Source organism: Homo sapiens, chromosome 9, assembly GCF_000001405.40.
Source record: "Homo sapiens chromosome 9, GRCh38.p14 Primary Assembly".
Lineage (NCBI taxonomy): Eukaryota > Metazoa > Chordata > Mammalia > Primates > Hominidae > Homo > Homo sapiens.
The window spans coordinates 6007066-6032213 of NC_000009.12; the positions used below are offsets into that span (position 1 = coordinate 6007066).

General features: G+C 42.1%; 2 protein-coding genes and 1 non-coding gene across 19 annotated transcripts in view, besides 9 other annotated features; 1 reads left to right on the forward strand and 2 right to left on the reverse strand.

The window, feature by feature from the left end:
* BRD10 (bromodomain containing 10) overlaps positions 1-1417 on the reverse strand; it is a 129649-nt gene extending 128232 nt beyond the window's left edge. For all 14 annotated transcript variants that reach the window (XR_007061251.1, XR_007061249.1, XR_007061250.1 and 11 more), the window contains exon 1: positions 130-1417. Coding sequence is in view for 7 of the 14 variants with exons in the window: in XM_011517760.4 (XP_011516062.1) it covers positions 130-722 (593 nt within the window). In the remaining 7 variants the exon portion in view is untranslated. The remainder of the gene's footprint in view (positions 1-129) is intronic.
* Positions 85-314: an enhancer, noted in NCBI's record as "active region_28180". NCBI's record gives its function as "activates an Ori minimal core promoter by ATAC-STARR-seq in GM12878 lymphoblastoid cells {active_cell/tissue: GM12878}" and the evidence as "EXISTENCE:reporter gene assay evidence [ECO:0000049][PMID:35858748]".
* Positions 335-494: a silencer, noted in NCBI's record as "silent region_19759". NCBI's record gives its function as "represses an Ori minimal core promoter by ATAC-STARR-seq in GM12878 lymphoblastoid cells {active_cell/tissue: GM12878}" and the evidence as "EXISTENCE:reporter gene assay evidence [ECO:0000049][PMID:35858748]".
* Positions 446-947: an enhancer, noted in NCBI's record as "H3K27ac hESC enhancer chr9:6007511-6008012 (GRCh37/hg19 assembly coordinates)". NCBI's record gives its function as "activates a minimal SCP1, AML or CMV promoter by ChIP-STARR-seq in naive and primed H9 embryonic stem cells {active_cell/tissue: H9 hESC(naive and primed)}" and the evidence as "EXISTENCE:reporter gene assay evidence [ECO:0000049][PMID:30033119]".
* Positions 685-914: a silencer, noted in NCBI's record as "silent region_19760". NCBI's record gives its function as "represses an Ori minimal core promoter by ATAC-STARR-seq in GM12878 lymphoblastoid cells {active_cell/tissue: GM12878}" and the evidence as "EXISTENCE:reporter gene assay evidence [ECO:0000049][PMID:35858748]".
* Positions 761-839, forward strand: MIR4665 (microRNA 4665). The gene has a single exon (NR_039811.1). It is a non-coding gene; the product is annotated as a microRNA 4665 (primary transcript).
* Positions 948-1447: an enhancer, noted in NCBI's record as "H3K27ac hESC enhancer chr9:6008013-6008512 (GRCh37/hg19 assembly coordinates)". NCBI's record gives its function as "activates a minimal SCP1, AML or CMV promoter by ChIP-STARR-seq in naive and primed H9 embryonic stem cells {active_cell/tissue: H9 hESC(naive and primed)}" and the evidence as "EXISTENCE:reporter gene assay evidence [ECO:0000049][PMID:30033119]".
* Positions 948-1484: a biological region, named in NCBI's record as "H3K27ac hESC enhancer GRCh37_chr9:6008013-6008512".
* Positions 965-1484: a silencer, noted in NCBI's record as "silent region_19761". NCBI's record gives its function as "represses an Ori minimal core promoter by ATAC-STARR-seq in GM12878 lymphoblastoid cells {active_cell/tissue: GM12878}" and the evidence as "EXISTENCE:reporter gene assay evidence [ECO:0000049][PMID:35858748]".
* On the reverse strand, positions 3960-8559 carry RANBP6 (RAN binding protein 6). Of its 4 annotated transcripts, none has more exons than NM_001243203.2 (2): positions 8407-8559; positions 3960-7291 (listed from the first exon to the last, which is right to left on the reverse strand). In NM_001243203.2, the coding sequence occupies exons 1-2, from the start codon at positions 8540-8542 to the stop codon at positions 7221-7223; spliced, it is 207 nt and encodes a 68-aa protein (NP_001230132.1). In that variant the 5' UTR covers positions 8543-8559; the 3' UTR covers positions 3960-7220. The 4 variants fall into 3 exon arrangements, with proteins under 4 accessions (NP_001230132.1, XP_047279189.1, NP_001230131.1 ...); NM_001243202.2 differs by having other exon boundaries at positions 8348-8559; NM_012416.4 differs by having other exon boundaries at positions 3960-8559.
* Positions 8378-8437: an enhancer, noted in NCBI's record as "active region_28181". NCBI's record gives its function as "activates an Ori minimal core promoter by ATAC-STARR-seq in GM12878 lymphoblastoid cells {active_cell/tissue: GM12878}" and the evidence as "EXISTENCE:reporter gene assay evidence [ECO:0000049][PMID:35858748]".
* Positions 17113-17172: a silencer, noted in NCBI's record as "silent region_19762". NCBI's record gives its function as "represses an Ori minimal core promoter by ATAC-STARR-seq in GM12878 lymphoblastoid cells {active_cell/tissue: GM12878}" and the evidence as "EXISTENCE:reporter gene assay evidence [ECO:0000049][PMID:35858748]".

Below are 25148 nucleotides of genomic sequence, written 5' to 3' on the forward strand. Positions count from 1 at the left end.
GGCTTCTCCAGCACCGACTCAGCACCTATCAGCGCCGCCCCCAGGCCCCTGGCCCAGCCCATCCTCGGGCACGTGTGAGTGTGTGTTTGTGTCAGTCTGTCAGTCCCACCGGGGACCGGGCTCGCTTACCGAGAGAGAAGCGCTAACTTCTGCTCCAGCATCATCTCCAGCTTCTGGCCCTGTTTGGAGATCCAGTGGTCCACTCCGTGCAGGCGGTAGCACGTCTCCAGCATCAACCTGAAGTCCGCCACGAACTCGGTGATGCCCCCGTACTGGCCGCTGGCGAACTTCTCTTCCATCTGCAGCAGACACATGCCCTGTCCGGGCTGCTGCGGGAAGGCGCGACCGCCCCGGCCCCCGCTGCGCGGCCCTTCCGCCACCTCCTCCTCCGCGGTGGCAACGCCCCCCAAGGGCTGCAGAAAGGGGGCGGTGAGGCCCCGGTGCTTCTCCTGCAGGAACTCGCCCAGGATGCGGTAGCCCTGCTGTAGCTCGTAGGTCAGCTCCTGCTCCTTGCAGCAACCGCCTCCGATCACCATCGCCTCCATCTCTTCCTCCTGATCGTCCGCGTCCTCCAGCGAGGAGGCACTCCTTCCGTGGGCCGGCCCTGAGGTCTGGGCCGCCGCTGCCACCTCCTCCTCGTCGTCCTCTCCTTCGGCCGCCGGTGGCGGCCGCTCTTCCTCCCCAGCCGGCTCCATCGCTCCCGGCGTCCCGGGCACACTCATGCCCCGGCAGGCCTAGGCTGGGCGGTGTGGAACAGCCGCTCGAGGTGCTGGGGGACGCGTGAGCGCGAGCCGCTTCCTCACGGCTCGGCCGCGGCGCGTAGCCCCCGCCACATCGGGCCTGGCTCTCCTCAGCCGCCGGCTCGGCTCGGTGCGCGCGGGGGTCTTGAGCTCACCGCCGGCGGGGCGGGGTTACATGGCGCGCGAGGAGGGGGGAGAGAAGAGGAGAGCCTAGGTGCCCTCCTCTCCCCTCCCCCCCGGCGGCGGCGCGCGCACGGCCCTCGCCGGCCTCACCCCTCCGCACCCCGCCCGCCTGCTCTTCACCGGCCAGGCCCTGCCGGGTCGCCGCGGCCTCGGCGCCCCACCCCCTCCCGGGCCAGCGGGGGGCTGGGAGGGGGCGAGGAGGAAGGGGGTTCTCCTCTCCCCTCCCCGGAGGGGGCCGCAGCGGCGGCTCCGGCTCCTCCTCTCCCTCACACCCCCTCCCGCCCCCCTCTACCTGCGGGGGACACGGGCAGAAGGAGGCGGTGCACGGACGGGGCCCGGCGACAACTGTCAGTTAGAAGCCCCGCTGGGCGGTGAGGGGGGAGAAAGGGGAGGGGCAGGGAGAGAAGGGGGAGGGCACTCAGCCCCCCGGCTGGGAAGAGCTGTGGAGAGAAGCAAAGAAAGAGGCCCTGTCGCCATCCCCGGTGCGCATGCGTAGTAGAACAATTCCCCCCTCCCCCCCCGCCACCATCGTGCCCCGCCCCGCTACGCAAAAGGAAGAGCTTCGGCTCAGCTACAGGCCCAGAAGCCTGCTAGGGTTGCGCGGACCAATGATGTAATCAATCGTAGGCCAATCGAACATGTTGATGGAGGGGGAAGCAAGGCGCCTGCGCAGCTTAATTCGCTACCGCCTGGGAAGGTGGCCAAAAGGCTTTTTTTAAAGCAAGTGCTTCAAGAGGAAACTTCTTTTGCAAGACCCGTGTTAGCCCCCCAAACTAAAATTAAAGTTGCTAGATAACCTTTGTTAATGGCAAATGAATAGTGAGAAAGCGCAAAATGTAAATCTTCTCTACTATAAAATTTACATTCTGTTCCCACCCTTTCTCCCTTGTGACTGCGGGTCTTCTATATATAACCAGAATTTTGAGAAGTTTAGAAAGAAAGTTTAAGGACTCGACCATACGTTCACATGCAGAAGAAAAGGAAGTGATTTTTAGAACCCCAGCTCTTAACATCAATTCATATTTTGGAACTAATTCCATGTTTTCAGTTACAAATTTCCACCCTCCCGATTCTTGAGATCTGTTAAGAATAAAGAGAATGGAACCTCATTTAAACAAATTCTTGGGACTGAAAACAGTCAAAATAGTTCATGTCTGAGTTGTACAGCATTAAACAGTTGTTTGCATGGGCTGATAATCTCACTACATTTTACAATTACTGTTTAATGACTAAAAAGTGGACTCATCATTCACATTGGTTTACATGTTACTTAAAATTAGTTGGGAGGTAGGAATTCATGGTTCCATAAAGCAAATACTACTATTTCCTCATGTTCTATTTGAAAGACGCACATATTATTTTTTCTAGGTACACAGAACCCTCGTTAAAACCTAGAATTACCTAAACACAAAAACAAAATTACAGAAATCATGCATTTTAAAAGTAAAATGTGTATAACTAAATGATTAGGATACTCTGACTCTTGCAATTGTTTACTTCTCATTAATGTGAACTTTAAAGCAGTGATAAAATTTTTTTTTAACCTCAAAGCTGTTTTTGTCCAGTAAGTTAAGTATCACTCTTAAGTAAAATAGTGAAGCGGGAACGCTCTGTTAGGGTATTCACACTGTCCTCCACACATACCTTTTATCTAGTATTCGAGGTCTCCTCTCATCAGACATTTGTAATATATAACGCATTTACAGGGTTCTCTCCCCTCAGAGAAGAGTCTGTGGACTCTGAAGAGTCCACAGAACCTCAGCTCACAGAAAGAAAAATGCAGGGATCAGTCTTACTTCAGCACCTGGCAACCAAAACGTGTGTCTGACTAGACATTCCTCCTTTCTTTCGACAAAGCCCAGGAATCTGAAGCCCAACGTACCCAAGCAAACATCCTCTACTCCTCTTTAGTCATCAGCTCTATTTCATGACTCTTGGACAATATTAGCTTACATTATTGAACCCTGTGCCACTAAGCACTTTATATTCATTGTCTCCTTTAATCTCACAACAAGCCTATCAGCTAGGTATTAACCTTATTTTTCAGATGAGGAAACTGCCTCTTAGTTTAAGAAAGTTGTTAAACAAAGTTAAAATCTAGGTCTGTCATACTTCAAAAACTCCAGGTGCCTAATTCCAAGTCATCTGGCAGAATTTCTAATTCCTCATACATAAAAGTGTAGGGAATTGCTAGAAATGTTGATAAAGGGTTTCTTAATTAAGATTATATAAAAGAGAAAGGTGTGGGTGAGTAGAAGGAACCTCAACTCTAGGTTATGAAGAGGTCAAGATGATAGCAACTTAACTATAATGAAAGTAGGATCGGGTCCTTGATCTTAAAAAAGAAACTCTATTACACAAGAAATATGGGCTGGGCACGGTGGCTGACACCTGTAATCCCTGCACTTTGGGAGGCTGAGGTGGACAGATCACCTGAGGTCAGGAGTTCTAGACCAGCCTGGCTAACATGGTGAAACCCCGTTTCTACTAAGAATACAAAAAATTAGCTGGGAGTGGTGGTGCGCACCTGTAATCCCAGCTACTCGGGAAGCTGAGGCAGAATTGCTTGAACCTGGGAGGCGGAGGTTGCAGTGAGCCGAGATCGTGCCATTGCACTCCAGCTTGGGCAACAAGAGCAAAACTACATCTCAAAACAAACAAACAAAACAAGAAATATGTTGGTTGTAGGTATGTAGGTAAATTAGAAAATATAGGTAAGTGAGGAGAAAATTTGCCACTTAATCCTACCACCTAGAGAAAACCTCTATTAATACTTTGAGGTGGGATTTTTCTATTCATTCTTCTATACTTTATTTATCTTAAATATACTAAAAATTGTGATCATACTATACATAATGTCCTTAATTTTCCTTTTTCCCCCATTAGTAATAATTACATGGAATGGACAGAATTGCATATCTAAAATCTCAACTTTATATTCTTGTCAACAATAGCCTAAATAGCCTGCCAATATGAATGAGTAGGGAATGGATTGGGAAAATTCTAAAGTAAAAGAAGTTCCAGACACAATAGAGGTACAAACAACAACAGCAATAACAGCTACAATTTATTGAGCACTTACTAGGTCTTAAATATTTGCTAAATACATACACAGTACTCACAATAGCCCCAGGAAATTATAGATGTATTTAAGTTTTGGATCAATGAGTAATCGTTAGCTGAGTAGAAAGCTCTTTTCTACCCTACAATAAGCTCGACATTAAAGACTGACATTCCAATTAATATAATTAACCCTGGACTTATAGAACTGTTTTCTCATAATAATGCACATCTACTGCTAAATGACTACTCTCAAAGTTGTTTTCTTTTTCATGTTCAAAGAAAATTACATTTCTTTCCTTTCACTTTTCCAATAGAATACTCTTCAGTTCTACTCTAGAATCTCTTAGGAAATTATTTGAAATAGAAATCAATTTAAGCCCTATAACTAGAGCTTTTTCTCTTGTTGAGCTGCTTTGCAGGGAGAAAATGGCATACATATACAAAATAATACTCTGCTGAAACACATAACACTGACTCCCAAGAATACTGCTTACTTACTCTTTGTCAAACACTGTTACATGCTACCAATATTAGATGTATCAGGACTCCCTTTTCAGTAACTATGGTTCTTGGAGTCCTGGATAACTTAAAAAAATAGAGACCTGTCTGGCTAAAGAAATTTAAAAGTTCTCTAACTCTCAACCAGACACCTTGGGAACTACAATATGGATATGTCCTACCCAGTTCCCAGGAGTACATTATGAAGAAGTTCATATACATCCCACATCCACTGCAGTATCTCAAAACTCTCCTAGTAACAGCATCCTCCCATCACCACAAATACCAAGAGTATTAATTAAAGAGGGACAAGCCTGCCACTATATCCTTCACTCACAATTCCAAAGATGTTTGTCCTGGAAATTCTATCTTATTTTTGTGAGCTCTTAGCATATTGTGATAGCATGACATCTTCACATCAAGTATACTGCTTGGCTAGCATCAATAATAGTTCAAACAAATAGCAACAATTTATATACTTTACATCAACTAGGGGAAAGGTGACAAACATTGTTTAAGACAGTTTGAAGCACAGGTTATCACCAAGGTCTGTGTTTGGAAGATAAAACATGCGAGATAAACAGAGGACTAACACTGATTAATTCTGGAGAAACATGGAGAAGAACTATAAACTGCTTAGCAGGGAGAAAACAGTTCTCTGATTTATAATAAAATCTATTCACAACACTTATTTGTAGTTACTTTTATAATAGATAATATTCAAGTTATATTAAAGTGCTTCAAGCAAAATTTAGCAACTCCTGTAAGGCTTCCTGCTGTTCATCATCAAGTTGTGATACACATTCCAACCATAAATCTTCAGAAGTCTGTACCTGACGCACGACATTAGCTAGGCGTTTGGCACAAGGATCCTCATAGTTAATAGTCTCATTAATTTTTCCTTCTGCAATTATACTGATTATTTTGGGAAGATTGGAATTATTTGGACCAATTACAACTGGGTGGTTACTTTCAATTAGGTCACAGAGAAAACTCAAAGTCTGAATAGCTTCCTCTTTATCTTCATGCAGTGGAAGCCATGATAACCAGTGTGGAAGAACTTCATCTACATTTACACAGTTAGGCTTAAACTTCAAAATCTTCCCTATTGCTGAGATACAGTTCTCTGTAGCAATGACATTTTTTTTGGTTTTGGAATTTGCACACTTAATAACTTTTACCAGAAGTGGAACAGCTTCTGAACATAAAGAACGATAATCATCTCCACCAAACTGTGCCATGACACCCAGGCCATAAGCAGCAGCTTGCCTGACTTCAGGGTTGTTATCTCGCATATTTAGTAGCATTGGCCACCGAAAATATTCTACATATTTAAATGAAGTTGGACTGCAGTGCTCTATGATGTCATCAAATATGCACAATCCCCACTGTCTGTCTGGCCATGGCCTACTTGAACAAATTAGATTTACAATTAATGGAAGTAGTTGTTCAAACCATGGTAAAATCTTTTCCTTATAAGTACTAAATAATGAGTGCAAAATATCTGATACTTTGGTCAGAATATAAACATCACATTCATCCTCATCTTGCAGAGACATCTCAACCTGTTGATCATAGTTTTCTTCCTGTCTTTTCACCTGTCTCAATTCTTGGTTTTTAAAGTGCCCTTCAAGTTTTGCTTTCAGTATTCCTCCCAGTTCTTCCAAGTGTTCATCATTAAGGCAACCATCTCCCATAACTTCAATGGACTTTGCAAAAGAATTCATTATTTCTGAGAGCACATCTGTATCTGGTTCAGTACCAATAGCCTTGATTAAGGGGTCACATATGAATTGCCACATCTGTGCAAGATACTCTGGGCCACGAATTCTTGCACATTCCAGGAGAAAAGGCATGGACTCTGCTGCTGCCACTCGAACATTGTCATGGAAATAAAATTTCAGTAAAGGAACCATCAGCTTCACAACTTGTTCTGTATATTCCACAAACCCTTCCCTTAACTCCTTAGCATAGTAAACCAACATTTGGCAAGCAGTTGCTTTTGCTTCAAGTCCTGAAGTTTTAATTCCAAAACTCTGCTGGTCTCCAAGATTTACAAATTGCCAGCCATCATCGTCACTCATATTTTCCACATCCTGTGTGTCTAAGAGAGCAACATCAGGTTTAGCTGAAGCAGTCTTAATAAGAGGCTCGATAACCAGTGGAAGGTACTGTTGAAAATCTTTTCCAAGAATTTTACACATTCTAGCCCATGCTGAAACCATGTAAGAGGTCTGAGGGTCATCATCTTCCATATTATTTAAGTCTGATTGTGTCTTCAACAACAGCTGCATCACATTTGATGCATCTTGCATAAATTTTTCCTTCCCAACAGCAAGACCAATATGGCTAATGCACTCGATAGTTTTTCCTCTCAGAAGCTTGAGTTCCTTCTGAACAGCAAGCTCAACAATGTGCTTTAGTGAGGGCATGAATATATCATAATATGGGACAAATTTTTCTTCTATTGTATCTGCAACTGATGCAATGGTTGTCACAAGTTGTTCCAAAGCCAACTTAGTTCCATTCCGAATCAACTCTTGAAGTTTAATCACCAAGACGGAATGTAGATTTTTCACCATACTATCCACATATAGAACTAGCAATGATTTAGGGCAGTCTTCAATAAAAATAATAAGAGCAGAAGCTGCATGTGATTGCACACGCTGATTACCTTGATTTTCCATGGTACGTAACAGAGCTGCAATCACTGTTTCATGAAATTTCTTTTGGAAATTAGGTGCAAAATCTGTAGCCATCTGTCCAAGTGTAGTACAGGCTGCAGCCCTCACCCTTGGATGAGGATCCTGAAGAAAAAGCAAAACGGAGTTAACTGTTTCATCTAGAATTGATTCCATTTGTTGATGGCATCCTTCTCCAATGGCAGATAAGGCCATTAATCCAGCATGTCGATACTTCCAGTCAGGGCTCTGAAGCATCTGCATGATATGCTCCTTGGTCATTGGTAAAACAACTTTTCCACCAAGCCCACAAGCCAGTCTGTCTAGTGCACTCTCCGCAGCAACTGCATTGCTGTCAAAATCATCTTCTTCCATTTCATCAGCATTTACCCAGTCCTCATCATCTTGTAGATCAACCATCATTGCTAATATATGAGGAACTGCCTGTGCAATAATATTTGTATGTTTTTTCAACATCGGAGTGGCAGTTTCAGACAAGGTCACTATAACTTCGAGGGCCAGCTGGCGCTGCAGATTACTAAGCCTAGAGTCTCCACATAACTTCAAACTCAACTGTAGAGTATCTTCTAAATAAGGACCCAAGTACTTAGGTACGGTATCTGCAATCTCAACAAGGGATTCTAGCACTGAATCATCATCCTGGTAGCATGAGTCATTCACAGCCTGTAAGATTCCAGGAAGCAAGTCTGCAAAGTCTTTGAAAAGAGCAATATTATTCTCATTAGCAAGTACAAATGCAGCTGCAGCTCTAGCGGATAATGTCCTGATTGCTGGATGTTCTTGATCTTGAATACACTGGTCCAACAACCGTTTGATGATATCCAAATCATGCCGCTCTTGGGTCCCAAAAATCCCAGGAAAGTGCCAGAAAACGTGAAGTGCAACTTCCCATAGAACCACATTTTTGGAGTAGATTGAATCAATAAGAAACTTCAGACCTTCCGGCCAGTGGTTAGTGCCATCCTCATCTATCAAATTCCTGGCCAGCACTGCAAAAATATCACAAAGTTTTTTCCTCATGCTAGCATGTGTTTCTAACTTAACAGCCAGAATCAGTTCAATCTTGACATCTCTCTGAACATCAGCAGGCAGATTTGGATAAACCTCCTCAAACCCAGAGGACAAAAGCCGTCGTAGCAGTGCGGCAGCCATTTGTCTCACCTCATAACCTGCTCTTCTATTTCTGACGGCATCTAAGAGGAAGGTAGTCTTACACAGACCTGGGATATTTTCATAGATTTCCTCTGCTTGCCTCCGCACCATACAGCTTGGATTGATCAGGTTCTTCAGAAGCTGGTAAAACTCTTGCTTTTCTGACACGGTCGCCGGCACCCCTGCAGACGCGGTTGCCGCCATTGCGCTCTGTCAAAGCTACCGCGACCGGGAAGGAGGGAGGGGGTCTGCGGCTCGAAGCAGTGACGTAGGCGAGGCGCCGGCGGGGATGGGCGGGGTGCTTCTCCCTCCTCTGCCCAGAAACTCTAGCTGCGCTCTGGCAGGCTGCGAGCTAGGTTTTGGAGAGAGGTGAGAGCCGTGTGGAGGCCAATGGCATCCTCCATTTGTTTTTCAATAAGATAAACGTGCACTTGCAGGCGAGAGAAGAAAAGCATTGATTAGAATGGGATCATGACTTTTTTTTTTTTTGGATACAAGGTCTGGCTGTGTCACCTAGGCTGGAGTATAGCGGCGCGATCCCTGCTCACTGCAGCCTCAACCTCCTGGGCTCAAGCGATCCTCCCCGCCTCAGTTCCCCCAGTAGCTGGGACCACAGGCGCGCGCCACCACGCCCGGCTAATTGTGTTTTTTATAGAGACAGGGTTTCGCCATGTTGCCCAGGCTGGTCTCGAACTCCTGGGCTCAGGTGATCTGCCCGCCTCGGCCTCCCGAAGTACTGGGAATACAGGTGTGAGCCACTGCTTCTGGTCAGATTATGAGTGATTTTTTTCTTTTATTTCTAAACTATATTGTTACTTTGATAATTTTAAAACAATAAGTCTATCTTGAAAACATGCCAAGTGAAAGAAACCAGTCACAACCACATATTGTATGATTCCATTTGTATGAAAGGTACCAAACAGGCAAATTGTATAACAGAAATTAGTGGTTGCCAGAGGTTGGGGGGAGGGGAGGATAGAGAATGACTGCTATCAAATAGGGTGTTTCTTTCTGAGTGATGAAATGTTCTAAAATTAATTGTGATGGTTGCACAATTCTGTGATTATACTAAAAACCATTGAGTTGTTAAATTTAAATTGGTGAATTGTATGGCATATAAATAATACTACAATAAAGCTTTATAAAATAATAAGTGTGATAATAAAATAATAATTACTTCCCCACTACCACATCTAATGCAGTAGAGTGGTAGCTCAAAATCTGGTGTGTGTCAGAATCACCTGGCCTGTTGGTTATAATAAAGAATGGGAAAGACAACTGAGTAAAGTATGGTAGAAAGTGATCTGAACTAATAATCAGAAGACAGACTTGCATCCTGGCCTTGTCACTAAATTAATTTTGTATCCTAGGACAAGTTACTCAAGATTTTCCTTGCATCTTGTCTAAACTGAAATATGAAGGGATGCGGTTAACTAGAATCCTAACTAACCATTAGTGGGAAGCTGCTGAGGTTATTCCAAGAAACAAATGTTGATGAAACTAAATTTGTTTCTTTTTTTTTTTTTTTTTTTTGTGAGATGGAGTCTCGCTCTGTCGCCAGGCTGGAGTGCAGTGGTGCGATCTCAACTCACTGCAACCTCTGCCTCCTGGGTTCAAGCAATTCTCCTGCTTCAGCCTCCTGAGTAGCTGGGACTATGGGCGCATGCCACCACGCCCAGCTAATTTTTGTATTTTAGTAGAGACGGGGTTTCACTATGTTTGGTCAGGATGGTCTCGATCTGTTGACCTCGTGAGAGATCACCCGCCTCGGCCTCCCACAGTACTAGGATTACAGGTGTAAGCAACCGCGCCTGGCCAGTTTGTTTCTTTAATTCAGGCAGGTGTGTCAATCAAAAACAAGTTTCATTCCTATAACAATGATTAGGTCTTACTTTTGTATTAGCACTTGCCACACTCATTTTGACCCTTATACAGAATTGAGAGATTGCTAGGATAGATATAATACTAAATTTAGGTGAGAAGTGGAAACTAAGGGAAGTTACAGGATTTGCCTAGGATGACACACCTGAGTCTCAATTCTACCTCTTCTGAAAGTGACACTGATGCTCTTTTCACCATATTGCTTCCCCATTAACTACTCTTGGTTTTGCAGCATGATCAGAGGCTTCACTTACTGCAAATTCTGTCTTAAACTTTTCCAAGCAGCCTTAATTTTGTTTTTGTAAAGTGCTGCCGCATATACCCACAAAAATTAGAAAGTCGTAGCTTTTACATTAACCAGATGATAGACAAAGTAGGTAGTCTCATAAATTACATTGTAGCCGAGCATGGTGGCTCACACCTGTAATCCCAGCACTTTGGGAGGCTGAGGCAGGCAGATCACGAGATCAAGAGATCAAAACCATTCTGGCCAACACGGTGAAACCCCGTCTCTACTAAAAGTACCAAAATTAGCTGGGCGTGGTGGCACATGCTTGTAGTCCCAGCTACTCGGGAGGCTGAGGCAGGAGAATCGCTTGAACCTGGGAGGCAGAGGTTGCAGTGAGCCGAGATTGCATCACTGCACTCCAGCCTGGCGACACAGCAAGACTCTGTCTCATAAAAAAGACACTGTAATATGAAACAGAGCTATTTTCTAAAATAGAATTTCTCATTCTGTAGACTGAAAACCAACTGCATTAGAATTGCTTGGGATACCTATTTTAAAATATAGATGTTAGGGCCCAAGTTCCTATTAACCCAGAATTCTGGGGGGACTGAGGACTAAGAATGTACAATTTCAACCAGCACATTGGGTTTTTATATAAATACCAACATTTGAGAATCGCTGATAAGATCAATTCTGGTTCTAAGATTATGACTACAGTTGTGCATTCATTGGTTTTCTTTCTTTCTTTGTTTTTTTTTTTTTTTTAGATGGAGTCTCGCTCTGTCACCTAGGCTGGAGGGCAATGGCACGATCTCAGCTCACTGCAACCTCTGCCTCCTGGGTTCAAGCAATTCTCCTGCCTCAGCCTCCTGAGTAGCTGGGATTACAGGCATGCACCACCACACCCAGCTAATTTTTATATTTTTAGTAGACACAGGGTTTCATCATGTTGGCCAGGCCGGTCTCAAACTTCTGACCTCAAGTGATCCACCTGCCTCAGCCTCCTAAAGTACTAGGATTACAGGCATGAGCCACCACACCTGGCCCATTCATTGGTTTTCTTACTGTTCCTTCAAAAAGTCTAACTGGAGGGACTTTGCATTTGCCGTTTCAGGAAATGTTAATAATAATTAATTAATTACTTAATACTATATCCACTAGCATATGAAAGACATTGAAAAAAACCACAGTGATACACCACCACAGACCTACCACAATGCTTTAAAAGTCTGACAAAGCCAAGGGTTGCTGAGGATGTGGAACAACAGGAAACTCAGTTATATTTTTGTTGAGAGTATAGGTAAATTGGTACAACCTCTTTGAAAAAAATGAGCTGGGCGCAGTGGCTCATGCCTGTAATTCCAGCACTTTGGGAGGCTATTGGGAGGCTAAGTTGGGCAGATCACCTGAGGTCAGGAGTTCGAGACCAGCCTGGCCAACATGGTGAAACCTCGTCTCTACTAAAAATACAAAAAATTTAGCTGGACTTGGTGGTGTGCGCATGTAGTCCCAGCTACTCAGGGAGGCTGAGGCAGGAAAATTGCTTGAACCCAGGAGGCGGAGGTTGCAGTAAGCCAAGATCACACCACTGCACTCCAGCCTGGGTGACAGAGGGAGACTCCATCTCAAAAAAAAAAAAAAAAGAAAAAAGAAAAAGAAAAAAATGTTTGAAAAATTCTGGGTTAAGATTATGCAATTATTTGGCCGGGTGCAGTGGCTCATGCCTGTAATCCCAGCACTTTGGGAGGCCGAGTTGGGCGGATCACAAGGTCAGGAGATTGAGACCATCCTGGCCAACATGGTGAAACCCCATCTCTACTAAAAATACAAAAATTAGCTGGGCGTGGTGGCGCGTGCCTATAGTCCCAGCTACTTGGGAGGCTGAGGCAGGAGAATTGCTTGAACCCGGGAGGCGCAGGTTGCAGTGAGCCAAGATTGTACCACTGCACTCCAGCCTGGTGACAGAGCGAGACTGCGTCTCAAAACAAAAAGAAAGAAAAAGAGTATGCAATTATTCAATTAGTCTCTCAGCAAGCATTCTTTGAGGGTACACTCAAGCATGGTGCTGAGTTGCTGGTATTAAAGACTAAATTCATGAAGATATGTGAATCTCATAGTAAACAGAGATAGTAAATGTCACATAGCGTAGTGATCACTGTAGTAATGATAAGCCTGCCATGGAGCCATATGGGGTTATGGAGGCAGCTAATTTACTCTGGGTATGGGGTTGATCAAGTAAGGCTTCCCAGAGGAGGTATCAGAGTTGACTTTTGAAGAATGAGTCCTCATTAACCATTTGAAAAGAGAGAAAGTTGTTCTAAGTAAAGGGTACAGCTTTTTCAGACACAGAGAGGCCTTCAGGTGTACTGTGATGAGAGTTCTGCCAGTGTTTCAGTAATGCTGGGGCGGTGAGCATGGGATTTGAGGGGGTCTGGGGATGATACAGGAAGCTGGAAGGAGGAAGACAGAAAGTTAAATAAAGGCCAGATCATGAAGGGTATCATATCTGTCAGGCCTCTAGCCCAAGCTAAGCCATCATATCCCCTGTGACCTGTACGTATACATCCAGATAGTCTGAAGTAACTGAAGAATCACAAAAGAAGTGAAAATGGCCTGTTCCTGCCTTAACTGATGACATTCCAACACAAAAGAAGTGAAAATGGCCTGTTCCTGCCTTAACTGATGACATTACCTTGTGAAATTCCTTCTCCTGGCTCATCCTGGCTCAAAAGCTCCCCCACTGAGCACCTTGTGACCCCCACCCCTGTCAGCCAGAGAACAAACCCCCTTTGACTGTAATTTTCCTGTACCTACCCAAATCCTATAAAACGGCCCCACCCCATCTCCCTTCACTAACTCTTTTCGGACTCAGCCCGCCTGTGCCCAGGTGAAATAAACAGCCTTGTTGCTCACACAAAGCCTGTTTGGTGGCCTCTTCACACAGACGCAAGTGAAATTTGGTGCCATAACTCGGATCGGGGAACCTCCCTTGGGAGATCAATCCCCTGTCCTCCTGCTCTTTGCTCCATGAGAAAGATCCACTTATGACCTCTGGTCCTCAGACCAACCAGCCCAAGGAACATCTCACCAATTTTAAATCTGGTAAGCGGCCTCTTTTTACTGTCTTCTCCAACCTCTCTGACTATCCCTCAACCTCTTTCTCCTTTCAATCTTGGCGCCATCTTTCAATCTCTCCCTTCTCTTAATTTCAGTTCCTTCCCTTTTCTGGTGGAGACAGGAGACGTGCTTTATCCATGAGCCCAAAACTCCCACGCCGGTCACGGACTTGGGAAGACAGTCTTCCCTTGGTGTTTAATCACATGGGGACACCTGCTTGATTATTCACCCATGTTTCAGAGGTGTCTGACCACGCAGGGATGCCTGCCTTGGTCCTTCACCTTTAGCGGCAAGCACTGCTTTTCTGGGGGGCAAGCACCCCCCCACCCCTTCCCTCCATGTCCCTACCCCTTTTCCACTTTCCTGGGGGGCAAGCACCCCCCACTCCTTCTTTCCATGTCCCTACCCCTTCTCCACTTTCCTGGGGGGCAAGCACCCCCTACCCCTTCTCCCCTTCTCTCTGTGTCTCTACCCTCTCTTTTCTCTTCACTTTCCTTGGGGGTAAGCACCCCCCAACCCCTTCTCTCTGTGTCTCTACCCTCTCTTTTCTCTGGACTTGCCTCCTTCACTATAGGCAACCTTCCACCCTCCATTCCTCCTTCTTCTCCCTTAGCCTGTGCTCTCAAGAACTTAAAACCTCTTCAACTCTCACCTGACGTAAAATCTAGCATCTTATTTTCTTCTGCAACACTGCTTGACCCCAATACAAGCTCGATAGTGGTTCCAAATAGCCAGAAAATGGCACTTTCGATTTTTCCATCCTACAAGAGCTAGATAATTCTTGTTGTAAAATGGGCAAACGGTCTGAGGTGCCTAACGTCCAGGCATTCTTTTACACATCGGTCCCTCCCTAGTCTCTCTTCCCAATGCAACTAATCCCAAATCTTCCTTCTTTCCCTCCCACCTGTTCCCTCAGTCCCAACCCCAAGCTTCGCTGAGTCTTTCCAATCTTCCTTTTCTACGGACCCATCTGACCTCTCTCCTCCTCCCCAGGCTGCTCCTAGCCAGGCCAAGCCAGGTCCCAATTCTTCCTCAGCCTCCGCTCCCCCACCCTATAATCCTTTTATCACCTGCCCTCCTCACACCTGGTCCAGCTTACAGTTTCGTTCCGCAACTAGCCCTCCCCCACCTGCCCAGCAATTTCCTCTTAAAAAGCTGGCTGGAGCTAAAGGCTCCTTTTAACCTGCTTTCAAGGTTAATGCTCCTTTTTCTTTATCTGACCTCTCCCACATTTATATTTGATGAAAAAGAGCATATATTTTCATCAAAAATCCAGCCCAGTTTATGGCCCGTTTGGCAGCAACCCTGAGACACTGTACAGCCCTAGACCCTGAAAGGTCAGAAGGCCGTCTTATTCTCAGTATGCATTTTATTTTATTACCCAATCTCCTCCCGACATTAAATAAAGCTCTGAAAATTAAATTCTGGCCCTCAAACCCCACAAGAGGACTTAACCTCGCCATCAAGGTGTACAATAATAGAGTAGAGGCAGCCAAGTAGCAACGTATTTCTGACTTGCAATTCCTTGCCTCCACTGTGAGACAAACCCTAGCCACATCTCCAGCACACAAATATAACTTTCATAGGAGTGTAAAAATAAAAACTCAAGTGTGAAGACTGGAGGCATTTATGAGGCCGATAACCTACTTCAGTTAAGCTGGAAGTCTAAACCATACTAGTGGTGCAGCAAAAGAAAAGAGGGCATGGATTGGAAAGGTTTTAAGGAGTAGAATTGATAGCACTCAATGGACCAGGAGAAGCCTAGGAAATCTCCCCAAGTTCTGGCCTGGGTATCTGGTTGGAGGTGCTGCTATTTACCTATTTATGTACCTATATATAAAGAAAGAGCAATGTTAACGCAAATCAAAAGACTACTAACTCTTCTGGAGGAAAAAGAGACCTCAGTGAGTCCCAGGGTCCATATTTTGTTCTCTAGTTGCTCTCAAGTGCTATAGTGATGGTTATCATCTCAGCAGTAGGAGTTAAACTGCATGCACTTTAGGAAAATTACTTACGATCTTGTACTTTAGAAAAGCATAAACTGATTCAAAATCTTAAGTTGCTTCCTTTTTAGACTACATAATTCTTTTTGCATTGTCATTTTTCCCCTCCTAAGGAACACACATAATACCCAAGATTCAAGACTGGACTTGGAGATTTGGTTAGAGTTGAACAACTATATTAAAGTTTGTAATTAAAATTGGCTTTGTTTGCACTGGTGAGAGGCCATCTCAAGAATGTTCCCACAAAGTGGCTCAACACCAGACAATTCAGGTGTTTATTAGCAGCTTACCAGGTAGACAAAGTTCATTGTAAGTTGCAAATATCTTCCAGGATCTGAGAGATTTAGAGTCAAATGAGAGGGATAGTATTAAGTTGGACATAGTTGACATTTTTTAAAAGAATAATTCAGAACCAAAAAACAAAACCAGAAAACAAAAAACACCATGAAAGCTCCCACTGACCAAAGATGGGACAATGTGAATATAAAAAAGAATAATGCCTGCAATGGATTAAAAAACATCAAATATATAAACAAAAGTGATGAGTATCTAATATGAAAAAAGGTTGCTAACTCATTGATCATCTCTGGAGATTGCTAGGTCATTGACTCTGATTTTTTTATTTTTTATTTTTATTTTTTAGAGATGGGGTCTCACTCTGTCACCCAGGCTGGAGTGCAGTGGCATGGTTCACTGCAGCCTTGACTTCCTGGGCTCAAGGGATCCTACTGCCTCAGCTTCTCCAGTAGCTGGAACTACAGGCACATACCACTATACCCAGCTAATTTATTTTTAAATTTTTTTTATTTTTAGTAGAGATGAGGTCTCACTACGTTGAACACACTGTCTTGAACTCCTGGGCTCAAGCCATTCTCCCACCTCAACCTCCCAAGGTGCTAGGATTACAGGTATGAGCCACTGTACCCAACCCAACTCTGAAATGATAAAGAGAAATAATCAAGATCTTTCCTGCCTTTCCTGTACAAACTGTATTTCAAAATAACCAAATAGTTGATGAGGGAATGTTCTTCTTTATAGAATTCCAGCTAATAAATGCATAAAGGATATTAAAATCAGGAAATTTCTGTGTTGTGGCCACTAATAAAATAATAAATTATCTAGGTAACAGTAACCAATGGATGTTAAAACCATTAGATTAAACACTGAGAATTTAATAATGGACGGATTAGGCTAAAGTCACCTAAAATCACTGATTAATCTTTATACGATTAAAGGTAGGATTAAACCAGAGATGTCATTTACCTGTTGTCTTTTAGCTCCACTTCCATACTTTCTATAATTTATTCTCTGATGCTGAGGTTAGGCCCTGGAAACAAAATTTCTCCTTTCATAGCTGGGTCACTGTTAGGTTCTATCAACAGAAGCCACTAGTGATTGAAGGATAAAAAGGGGACAGAAAAGGGATTAATCCTTCCTGTTTTTCCTGTTCTTGACTGGATTGCTCCAATAGTGGCCCTTCCTCCTGGTGGCAGCAGTTTCTTGCTTCTTGCAGGACTCTTAGAAACAAAAACAGCAAAACCCAGTCATATCCCATGTCTGCAGAGGTACCAGCAGTAGCCTGGGGTCAAGCCTTCCTCAATGGTTTTACCCACAGCTCTGGCAAGCCCCTCCACGGAGTTCAAAAGTGCCACTTCCACTTTGTTCCCTCAGCTTTAGTGGTGGCAACAGGTACTGCAAGTTGTCATCTTTCAGTTACATTTTGTATTAGTGCTCTTTGATCGTTGAGCTTCTTACACCTGTATAACCAATCCCCTAAATTAAATCTTCTCCGGAAGTACATAATGTGGTTTCTGTTTTTCTGATTGGACCTTGACTTATATGTCATTTAACGATGCATAGGCAGTACACAGAACCACCTTAAAAGAATTTTTCTTTTATTCAGGTTTGTTGAGGTATAATTTATATGCAATAAAATTCACCAATTGCAAGTGTATAATTGATAAGATGGATTTTGATGGTGAAGTTATCATTACCATAATCATATATAGACCATTTTCATGACCTTGAAAGTTCCTTTGGGTCCCTTTCCTGCCCCTGGCCCCAGGCAACCACTGATCTGATTTCTGTTGCTATAACTTTGTTTTTTCTAGAATTTCATATAAATAGAATTATTCAGCATGTGGCTTTTTGTATCTGGCTGCTTTCATTTAGCACAATGCACTGAAATTCATCCAGGTTAGTGCATGTTTGTTCCTTTATATTCATATGTCATATGAATATAGTGTTATTTCATCATATGAATATACTACAATTTGTTTATGTATTCATCAATCAATAGACGTTTGAGTTGTTCCCACTTTTAAGATATGAATAAAGCTCCTATGAACGTGTGAGTACAAGTTTTTGTGTGAAAATATATTTTCATTTCTCTTGATAAATACCTAGGAGTGGAATGCCTTGGTCATATGTTAAAGGTAGTTTTATAAGAAACTGCCAAATGCTTCCCAAAGTGGTTGCACCATTTTTCATTCCTAACAGCAGTTATGGGAGTGCCAGTTGCTCCACATTCTTGACAATATTTGGTATTGCCTTTTAAATTTTAGTCACTCCAGTGAGTATTTTGCAGTATCTGATTCTGATTTTAGTTTGCCTTTCCCTAAGGAATGATGGTGTTGCACATCTTTTCATATGCTTATTTGCCATTTGTATATCTTTGGTGGAGTGTTTATTCAAATCTTTTGTGTATTTAAAAAAATCTAGCTTTTTGTCCTCTTAGTATTGCATTTTAAGGGTTCTTTATATATTCTGAACACAAGTTTTTATCAGATATATGTTTTCAAATATTGTTGTCCTTTTTTCCATAACTGTGTCTTTTGAAAATCAATAAATTTTAATTTTCAGGAAGTTCAGGTTATCAATTAAAAATTTTTAGGGTTTGTGCTTTTTATGGCCTATTTAAGAAATTGTTACTCAATTGCAGGTCGCATATATTTTCTCCAATGCTTTCTTCTGTAAATTTTGAAGTTTTGCTGGGCGTGGTGGCTCACACCTGTAATCCTAGCACTTTGGGAGGCCGAGGCAGGCAGATCGCTTGAGGTCAGGAGTTTGAAACCAGCCTGGCCAACATGGTAAAACCCTGTCTCCACTAAAAATACAAAAAAATTAACCAGGCGTGGTGGCACATGCCTGTAATCCCAGCTACTTGGGAGGCTGAAGCAGGAGAATTGCTTGAACCCGGGAGGCAGAGGTTGCAGTGAGCTGAAATCACGCCACTGTGCTCCAGCCTGGGCAACAGAGTGAGACTCCGTCTTCCGTCTGTTTTAGGTTTTACATTTAGATCTATGATCTATATCAAGCTGGTTTTTGTATATGGTATGAGGTATGGATTGTGGTTCGTTTCTTTTTGCATATGCATTTTACACTTCTTCCACTTTTCCTCCATTGAATTACTTTGGCATCTTTGTTGACTATCAGTTGAACTACCAATTCTGAACCTTCTATTCTGTTCCAGTAATCTATTAATCTATGTCTGTCCTTTATCTAATACCATACTGTCTTGATTTCTATTCCTTTACAGTAAATCTTTAACCCATGTATAGTTTCCATCATTTCACTTCTTTGAAAATGATTTAGTTTCTCATCCAAAAAGGGAAGGAGAATTGTTGTAGAATAAAAGAGATAGATATAAGACACAAAATATGCACCTCTCCACTCCCCCATTGAAAATATAAATTTGGGAAAATGTCTAGCAAAAATATTCATTGTTTGTTCATTTATTCATTCATTCTAATAATGTCTCCTTTTGTTATGATCACATGTCTTTTAAAGTTTCTAATTCTGGCTTTAGCGTAAATAGGAAATATCCATAACTCAATACGTTAACTTAGATCTTTTTTTCCAGCTTTATTGTGAAGAATAATTATTAAATAAAATTCTAAAAATCATTGAACACTGTAATTTTTAGAAAGTACTTTCTAGGCTACAATAAATTGAACATACTTTTAAGCTACCTAAAGTCCACACAATTTGTAAAATTTGTATATAATTAGGAACTTTTTGCAATCTATACTCACTGCATCTTGAAAGATTAAATATTAAGCTAGATAAAACTAAAAACAAATTCCTTAATTCTTTTCATTGTGAACTTATTGATTTAGAATAATATCTCAACTTCTTCACCCCACCCAGATCTTCTGCAAAAAATAGCTGAGGACAAAGATATTCCTGACATCTGGGACTACAACCTTAAGCAGCTTGTGTTTTAACTTAAAATAGTTACGTAAATATGATGTTATAATTGCTGATATTTTCAAGTTTTTAAATATAAAACTGCTATCTCTCTAAGCCTTTCACTTCATTGATTTATTCAGCAAATATTCATTGAGTACCTACCATATGTCAGGCACTGAGCTGGAGCATTGGGGATGCAATGCTGAATAAAACAGAATGTCTATCTTCATAAAGTTTACAATCTAGTCCAGAACTCCTTAGCTCATGCCAGGAAGAACAGCCATGTTGAGCCTGTGGTTACCTCTTACCTCTAGGTGTATGAGAAACACAGTAGTAAAACACCATTATCACCTGTAAGAATTGTGTGGCAATTCGGAATATGCAAAGTTGAATAAAAATGCAAAACTCTACATGAATACTCAATTGGATTATTCTCCAGCTGGTTGAGAATACTTACGTAGTACTTGCAGGTATTAATTGATTTAATTCTTATAACAAATTTTTTAAAGGGTAGAAACAGGCATTGGAAAAAATTTTAAATACAGATTTAATAACTGACTCAGAGGAAAGTTATAAGAGTGATGGAGGATATCTGCCATCCAGACATTTGATGCTCATTTTGTTCTCCTAAAATAAGAATGTTTGAGCTGGGCGTGGTGGCTCATGCCTGTAATCCCAGCACTTTGGGAGGCCAAGGCAGGCGGATCACCTGAGGTCAGGAGTTCAAGACCAGCCTGACCAACATGGTGAAACCCCGTCTCTACTAAAAATACAAAAATTAGCTGGGTGTGGTGGCACACGCCTGTAGTCCCAGCTACTCAGGAGGCTGAGGATGGAGAATCTCTTGAACCCGGGAGGTAGAGACTGCAGTGAGCCGAGACTGCGCCACTGCATGACAGAGCGAGACACCATCTCAAAAAAAAAAAAAAAAAAAGGAATGTTTGGCTCCTCCCAAGGCTACAGAATGCCCAGTAGAAGCAATGCTTAGGGGGAGGGATGGTGGAGAATGAGGAAAGAACCAAAGTAGAAATCAGATTGACATTTATTAGACATTTTATTAGCTACAAATTTAAGGAAAAAAGACACTCAGAAAAAAAATCTCACACTACAGACATAATAAACTGTATTGTAAAAATAAAGCACTCAGAAAAATATCTTTATAATATTACTAGTAGGGTTACAAAAGTGAAAATGTATCTGATTGATTAGACCTACTGTTTTGGACAGTTTCTTGTGTAACAGAAAAAATAAAAATTATATAAAGGACCTGCCCAGTTGGGTAGTGTACTTGGTAGAAAGATCTTAAGATGCCAAAACATTTTTATTTGCATCTTCAGCTGGCATGAGAAATAATGCCAGGTGTGGTGGCTCTCGCTTGTAATCCCAGCACTTTGGGAGGCCAAGGTGGGCGGATCTCCTGAGGTCAGGAGTTCTAGACCAGCCTGGCCAACATCGTGAAAACCCATCTCTACTAAAAATACAAAAATTAGCTGGGTGTGGTGGCATGCACCTGAAATCCCAGCTACTTGGGAGGCTAAGGCAGGAGAATTGCTCGAACCCAAGAGGTGGAGGTTGCAGTGAGCCAAGATTGCGCTACTGCACTCCAGCCTGGCAACAGAGCAAGACTCCGTCTCAAAAAAAAAAAAAAAAAAAAAAAAAAATCCTGGCTAAAACAGTGGAACCCTGTCTCTACTAAAAATACAAAAAATTAGCTGGGCGTGGTGGCAGGTGCCTGTAGTCCCAGCTACTCAGGAGGCTGAGGCAGGAGAATGGCATGAACCCAGGAGACAGAGCTTGCAGTGAGCCGAGATTGCGCCACTGCACTCCAGCCTGGGCAACAGAGTGAGACTCCATCTCCCAAAAAAAAAAAAAAAAAAGAAAAGAAAAGAAAAAGAAATTGTTTAGCCATTGAATTAGAAGTCCTGTTAGTATAATACTGCCATTAGTGTACTGATCTGTTTGCAGCCATTGTATCGTGATATGTCTAATGTATTATTGTATGTATACTTTTCAAGAGCTTGTGAAAATCTGATATATTAGAACTGTGACAAGTGTAATTGGTTAGAAGTGTAATCGGTTAAACTTGGCCACCATGTTGGCCAAACGAATTACTTTGCAAATAAAGGGTACCCAGCACCAGGGTTTCTTGATGGAGGACTTTTAGTCCTGGGAGAGTCCTAAGCAAAGGGGGACCCTAACTTTTCCCTTTCATCAACTTTTAAGTGTCAGAAAAATATTTGTTGTAAAAAGATTTTAACTATAAAGGTTAAACCAAATTCAAGTTAAACATTTTTAACAAGAATACTTTATAAGTGATGCTTTGTAATTCATATGCATTACATCATGATGAACATAATATTTGGTTGTCTTTTGATTATTGTTGCTAAGCTTTAAGTGGTGACTGCCTGATCTTTCTATTTTGTTTTTCTCCTTGAGATCAATAGCTTATTTTAGGGCGTTGATACTTTGACAAACTTCAGATTGTCCTTGTCTGAATCAGTTATTTCATCAGGAGTGGGGACAAAGGTGATTGTTTTTCTAATTCCGTATTTTTTCCTATATTTATAAGCTGCTGTTATTCTCTAAAGAGGAGCTCTCCCTCATTTTCTAAGGCTAATTGGCCACTGTGAAGGAGTGCTTAATTCTTACTCTTTAATTACAATTTGCAGAGTAAGGAGTTAGTGTAATAGCCACCTCCAGTGGTGACAAATACGGTTGTTTTGTTATGTTTTGTTTGATTTTCTTTTTTGTTGATTCATCAGGAACTGTGAACGGTCAGATTTTACCCTACTTCAAAGTGAACAAGCTGGTCTTCCAGTCATGTTTTTTATCTCTGACGCAGGAGTCTTGTATCTTTTACCAGCGCTGGTAAAAGATACAAGACTCCTGCATCAGAGATAAAAAAAATAATAATTTATTACTCACAGCAAGAACAGTAGTCAGAGTACCAGCATTTTTTTCCTCCAGTTCCCAACCCCCAATTCATACAGAATGATGCAAAGAGAATGACAGCTGCACGCACTGTGGGTTGTGTACAGGAGAGAAATGCAGAGCTCAGAGTACTGGAGTCTTTTATAATGAGAAAGCCTGACTTTTCCAAAAGCTTGACTGCTTTTGCTCCAAAGGAGGACATTGTCTTTTCATTCTAGACAGTAACCATGCCTACCCTTTGCTCCAGAGGGAGACATTATTTCCATCTTCCAAGGCTGTTCACTATTCAAACATCCTCAAAAAGATAGTTCAGAATGTCTTCACTCACAAGACATGCGTAAGTGTGAGAGACCATGAGTATCATTATGTGCTAGTTGTTCTCCATCCTGGCATAAACCAGTGGCAGTCAGGCTTCTTTGATGTCTGGCTTCTGGTTGGATTAGCCAGAGAGGCATCAGCAAGGGACTGGAAAGGGGGCTAGGGTATTTATTCCTATCTCTCCACCCCATTCTCTCCCACCGTGCTGCAGTGCTGGTTCTGGCTGCAGTCTGTAGTTACCTTTCTTATAAGAGGACCCTCTTTCAGGCTACACGCTCTTTCCAGGCTCATTCTCTCCCATAGCTCCTTTAGGCCTATAGGTGGTAAAAGTATATTATTGTTGCCAGATTCTGTCCCTTATTGTGTTCTCATAACCCTGCCTATATCTCTGTAAATAATCCCTTCAGTACACTTTCTTCAGTAACGCTCTCTAAATATACTTTCTGTTTCTTGCTAGGATCCTGACAGGAACTTACAGATTTAGTTAAGTTTCAAAAGAGAAAAACTAGAAATTAATAGAGCCAAGGGTTAGAAAGATAGTAGTTTAGCAAAAAATGATTTTAGAATATAGAAATATTATCCCAGTATGCTAATTTGTGCTAATATATTTTCTAATCAAGGTTTATAATTTATAATCTAAGGTCAGTAAAATATAAAGAAAGGCAATAATGTAATTTATTACATTAGCAGGAAAAATAGTAAGAATCATGTGAACATAGCAATAGATACCAAAAAGCATTTAATCAAATTAAAAGTCAATGAAAATGAAATATAAAGGGTGTTTTATAAATGAAGAGTCTTAGAATGAATTGTAAAATTCATTTAAAATAATTTCTTTAAAAATGAATTTTTAAAAGTCCTGTATTTAAAAACAAACCATCATAAATAATAGAAAAACACTGCAGCACTGCTGTTCGAAGTCTGATCCCCTGACCACCTGAAACAGGATCACCTAGAACATTTGTTGAAAATGCAAATCTCTAGCTTCCACCCTGAGCTACTGAAAAAATTTTTGAATCTGAATTTTTAACTAGCATCTCAGGTTCTCAGTTGATTCTTAGAACCACTGTAGTATAGTCATTCTTTTTTTTTTTTTTTAAGAGATGGGGTTGCCTAGGCTGGTCTTGAAGTCTTGGGCTCAAGCAATCCACCCTCCTTGGCCTCCCAAAGTGCTGGGATTACAGGCGTGAGCCACCATGCCCGGCCATTCTTTTATAATACTTTTACATTTTGAAAATTAAAGTAACAGTGAGCATGTTAAAAATCAAATAGTACAGCACAGAATGTAATGAAAAGCAGAGGTTCCTGGTTCCATATCTTCCAACCCTGAGTCCTCTCCTCAAAATCAGCTGCTTTTAAACTTTTCTGTTTTTACATTTTCTGGTGGTTATTTCCATAACTCTGATTAATAGTCATTGTCTTTTAAAACAGTAACAAAATGAGACACACTCCTGTTACCATTCGAGGAAAGACTGTGCTAGAAGTGCTGTCAAAAGTTCTTTAGATAGAACAGAGAAGGAGACAGTCTAATCATAGGAAAATAAAAATCACTGTCACTTTTTTTTAAATTTTTTTTTGTTTTTTGAGATGGAGTTTTACTTTTGTTGCCCAGGCTGAAGTGCAATGGCATGATCTTGGCTCACTGCAGCCTCCGCCTCCCAGGTTCAAGGATTCTCCTGCCTCAGCCTCCCGAGTAGCTGGGATTACAGGTGCCCGAGACAGAGTTGCACCATGTTGGCCAGGCTGGTATCTAACTCCTGACCTCGTGATCTGCCCATCTCGGCCTCCCAAAGTGCTGGGATTACAGGCGTGAGCCACCACACCTGGCCTTGTTGTCACTTTTTAATGTGACATGTATGTTTAGCTAAAAGCACTAGAGATAACAGTTAGATAAAAATATAGAGGATAAGGGCCAGGCATGGTGGCTTACGCTTGTAATCCTAGCACTTTGGGAGGCTGAAGTGGGCAGATCATGAGGTCAGGAGATGGAGACCATCCTGGCTAACACGGTGAAATCCTGTCTCTACTAAAAATACAAAAAAAAAAAAAAAATTAGCCAGGCGTGGGTGGTGGGCACCTGTAGTCCCAGCTACTTGGGAGGCTGAGGCAGGAGAATGGTGTGAACCCGGGAGGTGGAGCT

Bases quoted from the DNA above. Each gene is read 5' to 3' on its own strand.
- RANBP6 (NM_012416.4), bottom strand. From the start codon at position 8,542: ATGGCGGCAACCGCGTCTGCAGGGGTGCCGGCGACCGTGTCAGAAAAG.